This window comes from Homo sapiens, chromosome 8 (genome assembly GCF_000001405.40).
Source record: "Homo sapiens chromosome 8, GRCh38.p14 Primary Assembly".
Lineage (NCBI taxonomy): Eukaryota > Metazoa > Chordata > Mammalia > Primates > Hominidae > Homo > Homo sapiens.
This window is the reverse complement of record NC_000008.11, coordinates 108,464,490-108,484,084: the sequence shown is the minus strand read 5'-3', so window position 1 is coordinate 108,484,084 and position 19,595 is coordinate 108,464,490. Positions and strand designations below refer to the sequence as shown.

Sequence of the window (19,595 nt, the reverse complement as noted above, 5' to 3'; positions counted from 1 at the left end):
CTACTGAACATGCTAAACCAATTACCTAATTGACGAGCAAATAGTAGCCATATTCTGTTTCATCATTAAGTGGAAACAAAGAAAGAAAAGCAGTTCTTGAAACCTAATTTTCCCTAATTTATAAATACGTAGAAAAATCCCATACGAAATATTATATACTCTATACCGGTTTATATTCCTAGATATGATTAAGAAATTCTCACTGAGATCCCAAAGATTTACCTAGTTATCAAGAATGTCATTCTCTGAAAGTTATATACTCTTTTACATTATTCACAAATACTGTATTTTTGTTTTCATACAGTTAGATTTTGCTTAAGTAAATCTTTCATAATTCTCTGTAAGATCTATAAGAAAACTCACCAGAAAAAAACACAAAAACAACCAAACAATAAAAACTTGCTTATCAAATTCAGAGGTCAGTGATTCATGCATTGTAATAACTGAGATACCTTGCTTGGGCTTAAATTTACCTTTACATAATTTGTGGAAAATACATGGGTAGACAAAGTAATAGGAAAAATGAAATGGACTGTAAATGAATGAATCTCAAAAACATGCTGAGTGAAAGAAGCCAGACACAGAAGAGCACATAACCTATGAACTCATTTATACAAAGTTATAGCACAAGCAAAACTAATGTTTGGTGATAAAAATCAGATCAGTGCTTGTCTGTCTCCCAGTGGGGGATGAGGTTGACTGCAAAATGGCAGAAGGAAAGTTTCTTGGGTGATGGAAATGCTATTTTGAGTGGGGGGCTGGTAAGGGGATGTACACATTTGTCAAAACTCAGACTGTATACTTAAAATATATGCACTTGATTACATGTAAATTATATCTCAATATACCTCAAGGGGGTCTTGTCACACTGAAGAGACAGGGAAAAGGAAAAACATAATAACTTATGTTTTAATTTCTTTAATTCTCAGAATATTTCATTATGGCCATCTTGCAGAAGAAAAGATACAGCAAGAGATGTTAGGTAATTTATCCAAGTTTGCATAGCTAATAATTATATCAGAGTCAAAATTTGAACCCAGACAACATGGGTTCAAATCTGTAATCTTCTCTTTACTACATTGAACTAGCTTCCATGGACGGGACTCATGATGGAACACAAAGATGGACAGAAACACTGGATATCCATATGGGGAGCAATGGACCCCCTATTTCACATCATACATAAAAATCAATTCCAGGCCAGATGCGGTGGCTCACACCTATAATCCTAGCACTCCATTGGGAGGCTGAGACAGGAGGATTACTTGAGGCCAGGAGTTTGAGACCAGCCTGTGCAATACAGCTGGACCTCATCTCTACAAAAAATTTAAAAGTTAGCCGAGCACGGTGACATGCGTCTACAGTACCAGCTAGTTGGGAGGCTGAGGCAGGAGGATAACTCAACCTGGGTGGTTGAGGGTGTAGTGAGCCATGATCATGCCACTGCACTCCAGCCTGGGCAACAGAACCAACCAGATTCTGTCTTAAAAAAATAAAAATTAAAAATTAAAAATAAATCAATTCCAAATGGGTTGTGGATTAAATACGAAAAGTAAAAGAATAGAAATTCTGAAGACACACAGAATTCTTTATGACCGTGAGTAGCAAAAGATTTCTTAAACAGAACACAAAAAACACAAACAAATGACTGAGGCATTCGAACACATTTCATTTCAGAACTTCTATTCATCAAGATCATATGAGCAAAAAAGTAAGAAGTTATACATATTTGCTTATACATATAACTAAAAAAGGGCTCATAAGCAAAAAACTAAAGAAATAAGTCATGCAAACCAATGAGAAAAACATTTCACGAAAGAGGACATCCAAATGGCAACTGATCATCAGGGACATGCAAAATAAAACCATGAAGTACCACTCTACACATGTACCAGAATGGCTGTAATTACAAAGACTGACAGAACCATGTGTTGGTGAAGATGTGGGGCTATTAGAACTCTTACCGCTGGTGGGAGTAAACTAATTTGGAAAATTGCCTTTAACTACTAAAGTTAAATATACATACATTCTATGACCCATATTTTCACTCAAAGGTATACAGAACTGCACATATATTCCACCAAAAGACCTGTACAGCAATATTCAGTATAGTTTATTCAAAATAGCCCAAACAGAAAATATTCCAAATGCATAGCAATAACTAAATTATAACATTCATACAATGAACTACAGAAGAAAATGAATGAACTACAGACACAAACAAGGATAAATCCCATAAACTGAATAATGATAGAAATATGCAAGACAAAAATGAATACATACTGGCTGATTCCATAAACTATAGGGTTATAAGTGAGTACTCTTAAGGAATACAAAAGGAGAAATTAAGAGGACTTACCAAGAGAGCTTTGGGATGCTGCAATGTTTATATTTATTAGCCTGGATACATTTACCTTATATTAGTCACTGAAAGGCACATTTATGACTTGCATCCTTTTTTCTGTTATAATTCTTATTTCTATGTTATTAATTTAGTAAAAATTGATTTTAAAATAGTTATGTCAAAAAAGCACTCTGAGTAGCTGTTTCTCATATCTTAAAAACAATTATGTAGTATGCATAACGTTACTTTTATATTACACAAATCTTTTTTTTTAATATTACATAAATCACACACACCCACACACCCCCAAGCCTACTCTGTGTGGAACTCCATTACAGATCTGAGCTATCCCAAACTGCATTTGAAGAAGCACAGTCTCACTAATATTTATAAATACTCTGACTTAGAATATGCCAACAAAACTAACATGCTCTATAACAGACAATAAAAATACACAAAGGTGACTTTCAATGATGTGATTATGGAGGCACTACATTTGTAAAATCTTCTCAATTTTCTCCAACCAGAAGGGCAAAAACGAACAACAAAAAGCCAGCACCAAAACCAACATAACAGAACCCACGCCCACAGGTGACATTTTCAAAAAAACTAGGTAACAGTCAATTTTCCAAACCCTAGAATGTGACTATGTCATCAAGAGCAGCATGACCAACAAAAGATTAACAACTGTGTGGTAGGAGGAATAGAAAGTAATAGAGGACAACCTACTACTCTACAAGAAACCAAAAACCAAACAAATTATGAATTCTTAATCCACTAAACAAGAAAACCTGAGATGATGCAGCTGCCAATGGCCTAGAAGTCTTCATAAGCTCCAAAACAAAGATAAATGTAAAAAACTGCTCATAAATGTGAGATTAGACAAGTCTAACCGTCTAATATCTTAAAATTTCTAAAATATCTAGCAAACATCCTCTTCCAGAAGGACAAAACCTCACACCCTGAAGAAAAACAATTAAAAACTGAAACCAAACTGAACAGGGCAGAAACACCAGGGCAAGAAGGAGAGATGGTTCAGACAAGGAGGGGTGAGGAAAGGAGTGATGCCCAGAGGCAGCAATCCCAGAAGAAAACAAAACAAAAAGGAAGAAACACAAACTGTAACAACAATATGTAACATTTAAAGTGAGAGCAACACCTCAGAATTCAAGACTTTGAGGGCTCTAGAAACAGAACAGAGGGCTGAAGCCAGAAAATCTTTCTGAGTCACACTGAGTTCTAAGACAGACTGGCCATTCATACTCAGTTCTAAGAAAGACCGGCTATACAAAGAGGTCATATTTGAATTCTCTTTAGCAAAAAAGGAGACGGCCATAGAATAGCCAAGCTGGGAAAGCTACCCTAACCTATCTCCAACTCCCTGCCATTCCATAAACATTGTCTCCTAATAGTCCAGGAAAACTACCTCATTTAAACATGGAGGAAAGAAAAATATGAATCAAATTCATATTTTTATAAAATACAGAAAATGACAAAATAATTTGAAAGAAAATGAATAAAGGACATAGAAAAATGAAGTCTAATACACGTATTACTGAAACCCTGAAAAAGAAAACTAAGCAGAGAAAAAAATATTTGTAATTCTAAAAGCAACTTTTCTCAAATAAAAGGGCTAAACTGATGTACTAAATGGGTGTACTGTGTATTTGGGAAAACTGACCCAAGAATAATCAATAAAACAAATCATAGTAAGACTACTGGATTTTAAAGATAAAGAAAAAATTCCTTTGCGTAACCAGACAAGTCACTTATGATAAAAAGTAAGTCAAGACGGCATCATATTTCCTGACGGCAACATTTTATTCTGAAACAGAATGAAATAGCTGGGCATGGTGATGCCTGCACCTGAAGTCCCAGCTACTTAGGAGGCTGAGGTAAGAGGATCACATGAAGCCAGGAGTTCATGGCCAGCCTGGGCAATATAGCAAGATCTCGTCTATATTAAAAACAAAACAAAACTGAACAGTATGCTTAAGATACTTAGGTAAAGTATTAACGGGTATATAAAAAGCCAAATTGTCCTTTAAATATAAAGGCTATAGACAAATAAGGCTAAAGACATAAAAAGATGTGTTTTCCCATGAGCAAATTTCTAACGAAAAATAATTTCCTAAAAAATCTGCTAAGGACGAACTTTAGAAAACTAAGATACAAATGGAGAAGTTTCAGTAAAGGATCTGAAGTGTAAGCAGACTGCACAAACTTTGTTATGCAGTTTGATTAGTTTAAGGCTTTCTTCCTTCTTTTCTATTTCTTGAGATACCTATGATTAATAATACACTCACATACCCAATCTGCTTCTGAAATGTGACGTGATATTTATTTATCCTTTCTGAGTTTTTAGAATTACTTTGCGTTTGCCAAATGCAGAACCACTGAGATTTCCATATGGTAAGGCTAATTATGAAATAATAATACTAACAGATTCCTCTTGAGGGGAAAAAAAGGTAATCTTAAAACTACAAATTAATTCAAAACACAACACATTTGATAAAGCCCCAAAGGCATATATAAGTCCAATGCTAGACATACGACTTTGTAGTTTGTAGTAACAAAACTAAGAAATACATTAACTGACCTACATAGCAAAATGATCAATAAATACTAACCTGATAAGCTCTGTTTATTTGACTAGCTGCCCAACTAGCATATTTCATGTTGTCCTTTTTCGTTTTTGCACTTGCTTTTGGATTAGAAGCAATATGACTTGCCGACTAAAAACAAATAAAAACATCAAAAGCAAAATTCCTTTTTTGCTAGTCAAGATAATCAAAAACATAAGGGACATGGTTGCAATGGGATAATAAAGAATTTTTAAAAACTGTATTAAAATAATTTTTAATATAAACATAAAGTTGAATATTAGTGCTTAAAAATGAAAATATATTTTAAAATATAGTATAAATCCAAAATAGTGGAAAGGGAAAAGATATTTTAAATAATACCTAAAATTATTTAATTATGTACCTGTAACAGCTCTTAAAGGTAAAATTCCATATCATTTAAATAAAGAAGCTCTAGAAGAACACTTTATAAACCAAAAGCACTTTACCACTGTAGGATATTACTGGTGTTATTTCTTATTACTGAATTACATAACTTGCTATGTCAGAATCATAGAATTATTGAATATTTATAGAAAAAGGAAACTCAAAAATAATTTAGCCTGACATCCTACATTAATAGGTTAAAGAAATTTAAGTCCAATAAGAGAGATTTAACTTGACCAAAGCAAAATAATGGGTCTTCGAAATAAAGAAGATCCTTATCTCTAATCCATTTCTCTTTTCACTATACCATGAGTTTTCAAACTGTGTTTCAGAGAACTAATTAGTCCCTGCAATTTGATCCACCCTCTCCTTTTTAAAAATGTATTTAAATGAGCGGTTCTTAATCTGGGATCTGTGAAAGAATCCATAAAACCCCAAAATCATATGCTAATTATTAAATGTATATATTACTGTGAAGAGTAAGATATAACTTGATTCCTATTCTTAAATATATTTTACTCTTAAAAGAATATGACCATGTGATTCAAAAAAAGGTTAAGCCTTTGTTTTATGCCAGCCTGTGCTATAGGCTCTTTCACCTATGTCTCCCTCTCTGCCAGTGAAGAATCTATATCCCCAAATCTGATTTTTATACCTCTATGACTTTAATGTTACCTTCTTCTTATGAATTTTAGCAGATGCAGTGGTTACGAGAAAAACTCTGGAGTTAACTTCCTGGGCTGGAAACCCAACTCGATCATTTAGGAGCTCTGTGCCCATCTTTGGGCAAATTAATTAAATCTGTGTCTCAGTTTCACCACCTGAGGATAGTATTGAGAGCACCTACTCAAACAGTTGATGTGCGGATTTATTGATTTAAAATAAAAAACAGAGCTCAGAACAATGCCCAGCACATGAAGTGCCATGTATAAGCTATTATTAATTTGTTGTATATTAGTTTTTAAAATTAGTATTTATTTGATACAGAGATACTTCTACTATAGCGTATTTTCAAGCCATTGCAATTGGCTTTGCTAAAATCCAGGAAAATTTTCTTGAAATTCATTTGAACCACCTTCTAACCATATTTTGCCATTCCTTTTTAAAAATTGTTTCATTTTTGTTTCTTCCTATTTCCATTTCTTCACTCAGTTCCTTTTCACTGAGCTGCAACAAGAAGACACTCATCAAGAAGTCAAAGGAACAGGATAAATAAAATATTAAAGTTTATTTCTCCCAGCGTTTCTTATTGTAGGGAGGTGCTCACTTTATATATATGTTTTAAAGGTCAGCAGATTATTCCTCTATTTCCCACAGCTCTTATTAATTGACTTTTCTAAGCTCAGCATTTGGCATACCTAAACAATAGGTCATTACATACTTCCCACAATTTCCAAACTGTTTTTCTACACCATAAAAAATGTTTTAATTTGATGTATTAGGGATTTGATTTCTAATGTATTTTATTGGCACTGTTTAAAAATACCTCATACAACTATAATTTAGGGAAGAAATACAATAATGTTGGGCATAAACCCAAGAATATCAAAACAAGAAATCATGTTTTCTTCCTATCTGTCACTATTTAATTTTATAAGGGCAGATTTCAATTCTGATATAAAAGATAGTTTACAAAAAAAGAATGTCAAACAGCTAGGCTGTGTTAACATTCAAAAAGAAAACTGGCTCACAAGCTATTGCTCAGAATTAATTACAGAAAAAAACATGCTTATCAATAAAATACAAAAAACAGGAGAGGAGTGATTGAAGGGGATAGTTAAATGGATTTTAAGTGACAGATTTTTAAAAATAACATTAAACATGCACCTCAACTCACCATATAAAGTCCAAACAAAGCTCTCATATTTCTGTTGTTCAGTTTCAATGCCTGTGCAAAATACTTTCTTGAAAGTTCGAGGTTTTCAAGTCCACCTTGGGTATACTTAACCTGTTAAAAATTGCAAAGTGCTGAAAACTGTTTATTTTACTACTTTGAAATATAGCATGGTTTCATCATACCATAGGCATTCAGTAATCGAAACAGATATTCTCTGTAAACAAATACAAGATGTTAAAAGAATTCACCTAAAGGTTTTTAAAGCTAATCTAAAATTTCAAACATAACCTTCCCCAAAAAAGCTATTCTATTCTATGAACATTGAGATGACTGAGTAGTTTCTAAAACAAAAATGCTGCCGCAATAAAAAGCCAGAATAATTTCTATTTCAGCTGCCTCGCAAATGCTTCACCTCACATTGTATTTTCTATTACTGGCATTATAAATGTGGACTTAAATATTGAATTGTCCTTTTATAATCTGCATGGACATTCTTTAATAATGAAGTCCTTCTAGCCTTATAGCATTCAGTTGTACTGCTATTCTTAATAATATGCAAATTAAATAAATACTTATGTCCCAATTGGCTTTAATACAAATTTCCCAGAATATGGATTTAACAATCATAATCACTATAAATGTCTCACAAGCCATTAAGTGGTGACAAATGTGATATAACTTATAATTAGGAAAGAAAATAGTATACAAATATAAAAATACAAGGAATTTCACTGTTTTAAGTATGTCTTAAGTCAGTATTACCACTGCAATGTTAAAAATTTTAAACTTTTATTCCCACAATTCAATGCTCATCAGATGTTTTAAATATTTATATACTTGCTTAACATCAAGGAAATATTCTTAGTTCCATAATAACACCGAATAGTAACCAAAATAAAATTATATGCCATTGTTCTGAAAACACTTACTTCAGCATACTGCTGACAGTATAAGTGGTTGTGTGGATTAGTCATCATTAGTTCCTCTAAACAAAAGGCTGCTTTTGCATAGCTAAAAACACATCAAGAGGAGAAATTAATTTTTAAAGTCACAAATTTTTATCTTAGTTAAACCTTGAAATAATTTAAAAACAACTTTAGTCATGTTAAACAATTTATTCCCAATATAATTTACATAGCTTTATTAATAAAGTATTTGTCATCTGAAATTCATAAATATCAATGACATTAAATTTTATCATGAAATTAATAAACACAGGCTTAAATCTTAAAGCAGCCTGCAAACAATCAATAGATACTACATTTCAAAAACTGGGTCACTCCTACTACATCCCATCACTACTAATAAGAAGGGCTTCAAGACCTTGGATCAAGCTGTATATAAAACAACTTCTGGAAGTTGACTGATCATTTAAAAAAATATTCAAACAGCTAATGTGTAAGGAGAAAATAAACATTTTATTAAATATTCTCTACTCACTAAAAATTCTTCACAGGCATATATTTACCAACATATTCTATTACAAAGATTTCTCTCATTACTTAAGTTCACTGTCAAATACCAAATTATAATGAAGTTATAAATTTCTAAGCCCATGAAAAACAGATCAAGTTGGTTTTGATATATACTGTACTATTATTTAATCTTGTGGTAGAATAAACAAAAATCTTGCTGAAAACCTAAGGAAAGAGAACTGCCAGAAAGAGCTCTGGAAAAACATTTTAAAGCATGTGACTGTAATTCACTAAATATATTTTAAACGTTTAATGCCATGTGACTATCCTCACTATCTACAGGAAATTCTAATGAACACAGGTGTTACAAGATTTCTTCCCAGTGAGGAAGTGATGACACTACCCAACAAAAAGAGGCTACCTAAAGTTATTTTTGGCATTTACCAGTATACAAAGGGATCTACCTTTACACTACTGCCTGATATACTTTTAAAAATTATTTTCCTGTTTCACACATGTATACTAATAATAGCTTTTACTAAATGCTTATTACGTGTCATGCATTGTTCTAAATGTGTTACATGTATTAACTCATTTAATCCTACCAAAACCCTAGGAAGAAGGAAATTATTATCAACATGCTAGAGCTGAGAATACTGAGGCACAGAGATGTAAACTGAATCCCAGGCTGTGCCACTCCAGACAGCCTGTACTCTTCAACCACTACATATGCTGCTTATATGCATTACACATCACATTGAAAAACTGAAGATGTCAATGGTAACATGAAAATGTGTACAGCAGTCACACCCAAAGGGACTGAGGAAAAAAAATACACCCTGCAGATTACCTAATAATTACAGCATTTTAGATTTATGAAGGACCACATATATATATGTATGTGTGTGTGTGTGTGTGTGTGTACTCTCATCCAAGATCATGCAGCTATTTAGCCCTTTCCATTTTTAAATTCAAAACCTAGCATTGGTTCTTGACACATGATAGGTATTTAATAAGACTGAACAAATGATTGAATAAATGTCTAAAACAAATGTGTTATGACTACCTACCTAATATATATTTATCACTCGAAAAGAAAAGGGAAAATTTGTCTCTACCTTAAACACTTTATCAAAAGACAGTTCTCTTCTAAATGTGTTCCTTTAATTATTAATAGTATGATGCCAAAAATTCATATTGAGACTAAGAATAAAAGTTCTTAGACATTTAAATGGGTTGAGCACAACTGTGACACTGGTGCATAAAGCAAGATAAAATGGGCAGGTAGTAGCAGCTCTTAGGGTAAAATGAATACCAAGATATTTTCTCAAAAATCAATTAGCATCACATATGAGAAAAGGACTCCTTCCCCCAATTTTATAAAGTACAGTATCAAACTAATTTTGTGGATAAAATATAGAATTAAATAAAATTAGAGCTAGAAGGAGCTCAACAGATGGTCTAGTCCAGCTTTTCTAGGCCATTGTTAGGCCACGCAGAAAGTGACTATTTCCTCAGTCTTGTCAGGGATAATACATAGCCAGTACTATTCTAGGTGCATAGAGAAGTTAATTCATTACACACAGTGACTCAACAAGACTAAGAATAGAGAAGTAAAAATAATTTGAATCTACTTAAAACAGAATAACAATTGTTATTACAATATTAGAGTCAGTACTAGAACTAAATAAAGTTTTCTTCTCTTCCTTACAAAAGTATATATAACTAAAGGTTACAGTATTTGGTACTGTGTGTTACTTTACCAACATCACAATTTTTCCTTAAAGAATTGTGGTAATTCCGTTGATATGGAATTTTAAAAGGCTGGACTTATGAAAAGGAACTATAATCACAATCATAATTAATGTATAATACTAACTGTTCCTTGCTGTATAGTATCTAGTTTCAATAACAAATGAAGTAAAAAAATTTGTCTTTCATAATGTGAATGTATTTTTGCTTACAAAGGTTGGGTATCCCTTAACCAAAATGCTTGGGACCAGAAATGTTTCAGATTTCAGAAGTTTTCAGATTTTAAAATATCTGCATTCTTACTGGTTGAACATCCCTAACGCAAAAATCCCAAATCCAAAATGCTCCAATGAGCATTTCCTTTGAGCATCATGTTGGCACTCAAAGTTTCAGATTTTGGAGTATTGTGGATTTCAGATTTTCAGGTTATGGATACTTAACCTATAATACATATTGGTAGTGCTGACACAAAAAAATTAACTGTAGTTTTAAAACTTTAGAACAAGTGTCTCAATATGGTCAATGGATGTAACATATATCCCTGGAATAACTAAAAACAAACTATAAATCAGAAACAAACTTATAAAAGTAACTTAAAAATATAAAAAGGTTACATGGCACAATTCTATATCCCTTTTTCTCTCTATAGAAACATTAAATAGGGCTATATGAAAATTATACTATAGATATTTATTTGGAGTTTAAAAATTCCAGAGCTGGGCACAGTGACACACCTGTAGTGCCAGCTACACAAAAGGCTGAGGTGGGAAGAGTACTTTAGCCCAGGAGCTCAAGTCTAGCCTGGGAAATGTTGTAGACTCTGTCTCTTAAAGAAAAAAAATAGTTCTAGATATAGGCTACCAAAGCTGCCTGCGACCTATTATACTTAAAAAAGCTTACAACTGTTCATATGCAGAAAGGAATATCGAATGTTAAATATATCTGACATTTTCGAAACTGCTACGTTTTTGCCACTGTGTCCCCAAGACTGGTGCTAAAACTGATATCCTACGATAATTTAACATTCCATCAAAAAATTCCTGCCTCCTATAATGACTTGCTCAAACATGTCAAATGAATCAAGTGAACTGATTGTAATTTTCACAGTTTCAAAAAAACCTGTAGATATGCATTTCCAGTCACCTAAACATAAATATTCCTTCTAAGTGTTCAATTAGAAAAAAAAAATGGTCATTTTGTAACTAACTAGCTTTAAGACCAAAAAGAGTTTTGTGATACTAGATAAAAGGGTAGGCTGACCATAATTATCATTTTCTCTAAAAAAATATTTTTAGGTGCTCCTACATCTTTGTAAATCTTCATTTTTTGAGATTTCTCAGTTCATTTCTCTTAAGTGTACATTCACCTCTGTTTCAATAAACTCTTTAGATTCCAAACAAAGCAAAACTGAAGGTGGTACCACATGGTGAAAAAAATAAGTAAATTTAATGGTAGGTTAAAAATAAGGTATAACCTAAATTTGATGATGAAATAAATATTAGAAATACATGCAAAAAAATAAAATTGCAAATGAAGTAGGGGGAAAAGGTGATATATTTTTAAGCTATTAAAGGACAGCAGACATGATAATGTTAAAAATTGATGAATCTGATTTTCTAAAAATGTAAAGTTTCTATAATTTTAAGAAGTCAGTATTTAAAAAGCATATAACAAGGATATACTTTTGACAAATGGTTGCTCTCCTTTATAAAAAGAGCTCGTAAAAATGAACTAAAAAGGTAGAACCAATTTCACCTATCAAACTTGTAAAGATTAAAAAAGAATCATAGTATCCAGTGTTGTTAAAGAGGGACTCTAGTAAATGCTGGTGTGCAAGTAAATTGATGTTACCATTCTAGGGAACAATCAGGAACTATTTATCAAAACCACAGAAAATGTACATCTTATTTAATCAAGCAATTTTACTTCAAAGAATTTAACCCAAGGAAACAAAATAAAAATGATCACTACAGCATTATATATAAAAATATAAAACAACCTTTATATCTCCCTAGGAAACTCGTTAAAAATACTAGGGTAAATTAGTAAGATGAAATAATATAAAGCCATTCAAAACACACTGTAGATTGTTACAGTGACAAGAAATTTTTGAACAAAATATAACTAAGGGAAAGTATAAACTACGGAAGATAATTTTATTTTGGGCTTTTATTTTAAAAGATAAGGAAGGACAAAAACCAAACAAACTATAGTTAACTTAGGATGCTGGAATTACATGTAATTTTTGTCTTGGTCTTTATGCTTTACTGTGTTTCTCAAATTTTCTGCATTAGGTATTCCTTTAACTTGAAAAAAAAAATTTCCTTGTTGATTTGAAATGTTTTAAAATGCTTTTAGTCAGAAAATCTTTAGAAAGTACAAAAAATGTTAAATGACTGTCACCTGTTTTAGAAACAAAATAAAATTAATGCTAATTATTTTTACTATACTCTAAAAATTCAATTTCATGTATTTAAATATAAGTATTATATACTGTTTCACATGTGTAAGAAATCATGAGTATGTTTACATATGTGTACATACAAGCATATCATCTATACTGAATGTGATTCAGGAAATAATTTCCTAATCAAAACCAGAATATCTGTTTCAGAGTATAGCAGAGAACTTGAAAAACAGTTCCTAGAATATAGTATACATTCATTAAATTACAGCTATTACTTTTATTTTAGCTCCCACTTTCCTTAGACTTATGCAAATAGACTACCTCAATCCTCTAGATCACATTATATATATAGACCACAGACAATAGACAAATGTCTTCATTCTGTTTCTCATCAGTTGTTTGTAGTATGAGAACAAGGTTAAATATTCATGCACAAGAAAATGCGCATGAGAATCTGATTCTATTCTGTCAAAAAGAAGGAAAAGAAACAATGTCATATACTTCAGATTTAGAAGAACTAAGAAAAAAAATAAAAAACACGCCTCTAGATGGAGGTTAGCATTAATGCTGTAATATTAGAAAACTTGCACTAAGACTCTGGACTAATCCTCTCACACTGGGATTTCCTCCTGTCACTACAGCAATAAAAAAGCTAACAAAAACATTAAACATCCAATAAGCAAGATCCTAGAGCATTCAACATTCTTGATTATTCTCAGTTTTTTACCCAGGCAACAGAATGCTTCTACTTTGGAAGAGTTGATTCTCTTAGTACTAAGGCTAATACATGCATACAATTGACAGAATTTTTAAACAGCAGGGAGTATAATACTCTTTGTATATAAGAACAATCTGAACTCTAAAAATTCACAATTTTGATTTACCAAAAATAAACTTAGCTTAGCAAATGCAGGCCTTTTTATTTCCAAAGAATGCCATCTATATTTGAAAGAAAAACTTATTTCCTAAACATAAACAATTTGGCAAAACACAAATGACCTAGTTAAAGCTATTCACTTATTATGACCAGTGAATTACTGATTTGTTCTTTTTCATTTAATTGTTGATTTGTTCTGTTTCTCATTTCAAATGACATGATTCACACCCTCTCACCAATCCTTTGGAAACCACAGTGCTTTCTGAACTTACAGTGATGAAAACTGCACTCAACAAAATGTTGTGTGTTTAATAACTTACTCATGTTCATTGATGTAAAGTTCTGCAAGTTCATGCCAGGCTTCTTGGTCTCCAACAAATCTGGTGAGAGGAAAAGAAAAAAAAGTAAGTGTGTAGATATTCTGTAAATGAACAGCATGAAAACAAACAGGAAAATCAAATGCAAATTCCATTTTAATTAAAAAAGATTTATCAGAATAACAAAACACAATCCTCTTGTAAAATACTCACTGTTCCAGATACTCATTCAGCTCCCGAATGGCCTCCACATTTTTCCCCTGGGCTTTTCGAATGGCAATCTTACGCTTTCTTGCAGCCTGTGGGTTGACATTAATAAAGGATTAGGCCCTTATGATTCCTTGGGGTTTTGTAAAGAAGGTAATTTGACTGTGCAAATTATTATCTCAATGCCAGAGAAATTCCATTGTAGAACTACTGCTTAGTGGGAGTTTATAAACATACCCCATGACATCCCACTGGGGAATTCAAACATTCCTCTAACAATCACATATGCTTTACTTTTGATGCACACAATGTATGCATCGTTTCATCCAAATAAATAATCATCCAGATTCTGATAATTATTAACCAGCAGGGAATCTTAATCTTTATCCAACTTAAAGCCCTTTACTCTGTCTCATTCATAAGATCTGTATCCTAAGAGGGGGAGGAACAGTGGAGATTAGGGGAAAAAAAATCTCACCATGGCATGGCCTTTGAATATCATTATATAAATATGTCTTCTGACAACTTTTTCACAATTTTAAGAGAAAATCTACCTATGAGTCTTTCACAAGAATAATACAGTCCTGAAATAAATATTGTATGATAAGCAAAACAATTAGAAGCTGTATTCTAAAGTTTTTAAAATGATAAACATAAAAATCAATGCCATTTATTGTGCATTCATCAAATATGTACCAGACTTCTACTGTTTGCCAATATTGTGCTACACAATGAAAATATAAAGATAAAAAAGAAATGATAATTCCTTGCAGAAGCTCATTCTCATGACAAAAACGTATCAAATAAAAAAGTTAATGCAGTAAGAGCAATGACAGGGATATCTAGGGTGTTATGAAAATAAGGAAGAGATTCTGACACATGCTGTGTCAGAGTGGACGAACTGGAAAGACAGAAAGCAAAGACGGTCCCACATATGATACGTGTACTGAAACAAAGAGTAAGTAGACATTAAAAAACAAAACAGGAAGTTATTTATGGAAACTGCATAGTGGGAAGAACACATGAGCAAAGGCCTAGGAGAAAGCAGTACTGGCTGAAGTAAACAGTCAGGGACTGGAGCATACTGTATAAATTATTAAATTTACGTCCTCTCTATTTATGTTTGCTTCAAATACAGAAGGATAAACAATAAACCATACTATAACTGAGGCCAAGCTAAACTTATTAATTATGAATAAAATTTCTTATTGTTGATATAATATTCCACAAGATGCAGACAGAAGTAAAATGGATGTGGTCTCTTTACAGTATCAAGAGCTACTCATTACGGGGTGGTAAGAGAGTGATTTGGCTCTGAAGAAATGAAAGTGAAAGTTTAGAGAAATCAAGAGACTAATAAATAAGGGTCAGAGCAATGTTTATAATATTTTGGGTAATTAAAAAATGATGTTTTAATAATATATATCCTTAAGCATATCCTGAGAGTAAAAAAAATAAAAAATAAAAAAAGAATCTATATCCTTAATTAATCAGGTCATGGCAAAGGCCTTTAGCACAATGCCTGTCACATAGTAGGCACAAGCAAATATTTTTAAAATAAGTTTACTAAGTAAAACAAAAATGTGCCACAATAAATGCAAAGTTTTAAAAGTCTCAAGAACTCAGAAGAAAAGTAAAAGTAAAGCTCTGAAAGTAACTCAAACCCTAAAGCCATTAAGAATTTTAGACTTAAAATGGGAGCATTGTCCCTAGTCCTCCAAATAGATGAGGGATAAATTAACATATAATCAGGAAACTTTCGGCCATTTAATATCTGATTTCACCAAAATCTGAAACATAATTTAATCTTTCATTTTTCATGACATTACTTCTTCCATAGACAATATACAGAGCATAATGTCTGTTTTGAAATCCAAAAGACAAGAAACTGAATCCCAACTCTTATCACTTACTAGTTTTAACCTCTACAAACCTCAGTAATACCATCTATCTTCAAGCATCAATATAAAGCAACTAACACAGCATATAATAATATTAAATAAATGTTATCTTCCTTTCTTTAACATTTGGTTCTAGACTTAATGTTTACGTGTTAAACCTTGCCACAAAATTCTAACTAAGCAATCTTTAAAGGACTGGCACAGACTTGCTTTATTTGATATTTATATCTTGTCCCAATCCTTACAGGATTTGCAACAGCAGAGATGAGATACTGTAAGCAGTGAAAACTTGTTGAAAACAGTTGGATTCACCTGGGAGCAGTGGTGCATGCCTGTAATCTCAGCACTTTGGGAGGCTGAGGTGGGAAGATCACTTGAGCCCAGGAGTGAGAGACCAGCCTGGGCAACATAGTGAGACCCTGTCTCTACAAAAATAAAAATAAATAGACATTTTTAAAAAAGAAAATATTGCATACAAATGCCACAAATCAAACAAAAAAATTAGCTGAGCGTGGTGGTGTGCACCTGTAATCCCAACTACTTGGGAGGCTGAGGCAGGAGAATCAACTGAACCCGGGAGGTGGAGGTTGCAGTGAGCTGAGACTGCGCCACTGCACTCCAGCCTGGGCGACAGAGCGAGACTCGGTCTCAAAAAAAAAAAGCCACTTAAAGTCTTAAAGTTTTGCCACATAATTCAAAGCATATCTAAAATTTTAAACAATATACAAGGTATCATACATAAAATAACCAATTATAATAACAAAAACACTGGTTCAAAAAACTAAGATAAAAATAGAAACGCACATCTTAGTTTCCACGCATTCATACCAAACAGTACTGGACACTGAAGGAAGTATCTACTGCAGATCGGTAGCTATCTGCAGAATAAATGAATACATCACAAATTTTACAATTGGAAAGAACTGAGGAGCAGGCAGTGATAATTACATCTCTTCATTTTACATAGACAAAAAACAAAGCCCAGACTTACATTGCAAATCCTGGGACTCCTGAATCTGTTCATGTCTCTTTTTTGCCATAGTCTCTTGCTCTCTGGACACTTAATACTCAGCTGTCCAACTCCTTATTCATATAATGTCTAACTGTGAATAAAGAGTCCAGCAGCTTATCTCCCAAAAGCCACACAAAACCCTAGGTTTTGAATGATTATCAAGCAACCAGAATGAGGTTCAACAAGGCTTCTTGTGGCTTCTGGGTCTCATTTAGGGCACACAAAAAAGGCTTGTAAAAAAGACCAATTTTGGCCAGGTGCAGTGGTTCATGCCTGTAATCCCAACACTTTGGAAGGCCAAAGCGGGAGGATCATCTGAACCCAGGAGTTTCAGAACAACCTGGACAACACAGCAAAATGTTATCTCTACGAAAAATTTTAAAAGATTACTTGGGTGTGGTGGTACACGCCTGTAGTACTAGCTAATCAGGAAGCTGAGGTGGGAGATCGCTTGAGCCCAGGAGTCAGAGGTTACAGTGAGCTATAATTGCCTCACTGCAATCCAGCCTGGGCAACAGAGCGAGATCCTGTCTCAAAAAAAAAAAAAAAAAAAAAAAAAAAATTCTATCATAGCTTCCTTAGCATAATATTCTATAAAATAAAAATTATACTTAGATTTTTAAAAATAAAAACAAGTTATTAGTCTTCACATACTCTTCAACAGCAGCAAGTACAGTCTCGTTAACTGACTAAATTTAAATAATAAAATTTCTGTAGGGGTAACAGCTGGTTGTCACGTGTATTAACTACCTACTCTCAATCCCATTTACTACCATTGCTTCTTTCCTCATGATAAAGAGCCTTAATTTCTGAAATCAAAGTACCTATCCAGAATTTCTTACTAACTGTAAGATCTTGGGCAAGTCACTTAACTTCTCTATGACCTTGTATGCCTATAGAATAAAGACAATATCTGAAAGGATTATGATGACAATTAATGGGATAATATATGTAAAGTGTTTAGCTCAGTGATGGTCCATAGTAAATATCTGATAAACATTTCCTTTCTTCATTATCACATCATCATCATTTTCTTCAATTCTATCACTCCCTTTCACCATTTTCCTCATATTTATACTCTGTTCTGTAGAAAGCTGCAGCTTTTTCTCAGTTGTAAAGTAGAAATCTGGATGACCATATAAGTTGTTCTTTTAACTGAACATGCTTCACTTAAATGTTTTTTAAAAATTAACAAAATCACAGCTCAATAAACAAATTATATCATCCCTTAATAAATGCTAATAATTACATTTTTTGACCTCACAAAGTTTAGAAGATTTTTAGCCAATATCAATTCATATAATTTGTCTGCAGCCTTAATCGATGTTCTGAATAAACAATCTGGAGGCATTAAGAAATGCAACAATAGTTCTGAAGAACCCATGTATGATAGTGAAAAACACGCTACTAAAAGAATACCACGAACCACAAACAATTTACTCCATTATTCAAAAGTAAATCAACTGGCCAACAACATAGATCCTATTCTATTTTCTTCAAAGAGCATCGAATACATAAGGTTCAATCCCTGGCTTCAGAGAATTCACATTCTTTTAAGTGACATGTGTTAAATATAAATAAAATTGAGAAAGAACAACTAAAAAGTACAGTATTGTTTAAACTTTGGAGTGAGCATAAAGGTTATTGTGATGTTTACTAAAACAATCAAAGGGAAGGTGGCTACAGGACAGCTAGACCCTGAATGAAGACTAGAATTGGAAGAGTCATGCTCCTGTAAGATTTTCCCAACTAAAGATATATATACACTAGTGCCAAACAATAAACGGAAACCTATATAATCTGTTTCAAACTTTTAAAGACCATGAATAAATCTTCATCCAACTGGCTACATGCCTTCTATAATATTACTCAGAATAGGGCTAGCTAGCAATTTTTTCTGAAAGACATACATTTTTTTATTTTAAATAGGCTACCTGGGGAAGAGATACTACCTAGAAAAGGATTAAAGGATTAAGGCCTACCGGCAAAATACAATCTATAACCTCCCCCCTGCCTCACTCCAGACTCAGGGACCCAGAAGGAACTGGACAGTTGACCAGCAAAAGGAAAGGAGAATCCAGGTTCCCTGCCCCCAAGGTTTATACCTAGAAGCCTGGAAAATGCGGCATTTTAAAAGCATCTTCTGGAGCAAGATACCCTCTCAAGATAATTGGTCTTACACATTTACCGTTTACGGAACACGTCTGACTGTGCACTCGGGTGTATTCAGCAGCATTGTTGCCTGCAGTTCCCTGTGTTCACCAGAGATGCTGAGCTCAAAGTGGAGGTTTTACTCTACTCATCACTGCAATCTGCACATTGCTCCACAGTCACACAGAGGCCTGTGTTCTGTTTCCTGTAAATGGAAACATGTTCTGAGCCTATCTGCCCCCTGTGGCTGCACCTGGTCCTCCGTACCAACCCCTGGGGGTATCCACAACCACTTGGGACAGAAGAAGGTGGAATTTCAAACAGGAGCTTGAATGGATCTTCAATGACAGACTTGGACTAGCTG

General features: G+C 33.1%; 1 protein-coding gene across 5 annotated transcripts in view; it reads right to left on the bottom strand.

Moving 5' to 3' along the window:
• Positions 1-19,595, bottom strand: part of EMC2 (ER membrane protein complex subunit 2) — a 45,573-nt gene that overhangs the window by 5,112 nt on the left and 20,866 nt on the right. For 4 of the 5 annotated variants that reach the window (NR_138033.2, NM_001329495.2, NM_001329493.2 and 1 more), the window contains 5 exons: positions 14,174-14,259; positions 13,964-14,023; positions 8,122-8,203; positions 7,193-7,303; positions 4,975-5,079 (listed from right to left, as the gene is read on the bottom strand). Coding sequence is in view for 4 of the 5 variants with exons in the window: in NM_001329495.2 (NP_001316424.1) it covers positions 4,975-5,079; positions 7,193-7,303; positions 8,122-8,203; positions 13,964-14,023; positions 14,174-14,259 (444 nt within the window). In the remaining variant the exon portion in view is untranslated. Of the gene's footprint in view, positions 1-4,974; positions 5,080-7,192; positions 7,304-8,121; positions 8,204-12,921; positions 13,232-13,963; positions 14,024-14,173; positions 14,260-19,595 lie in introns of those variants that run through there. The other variant, NM_001329494.2, reaches the window with a different exon arrangement.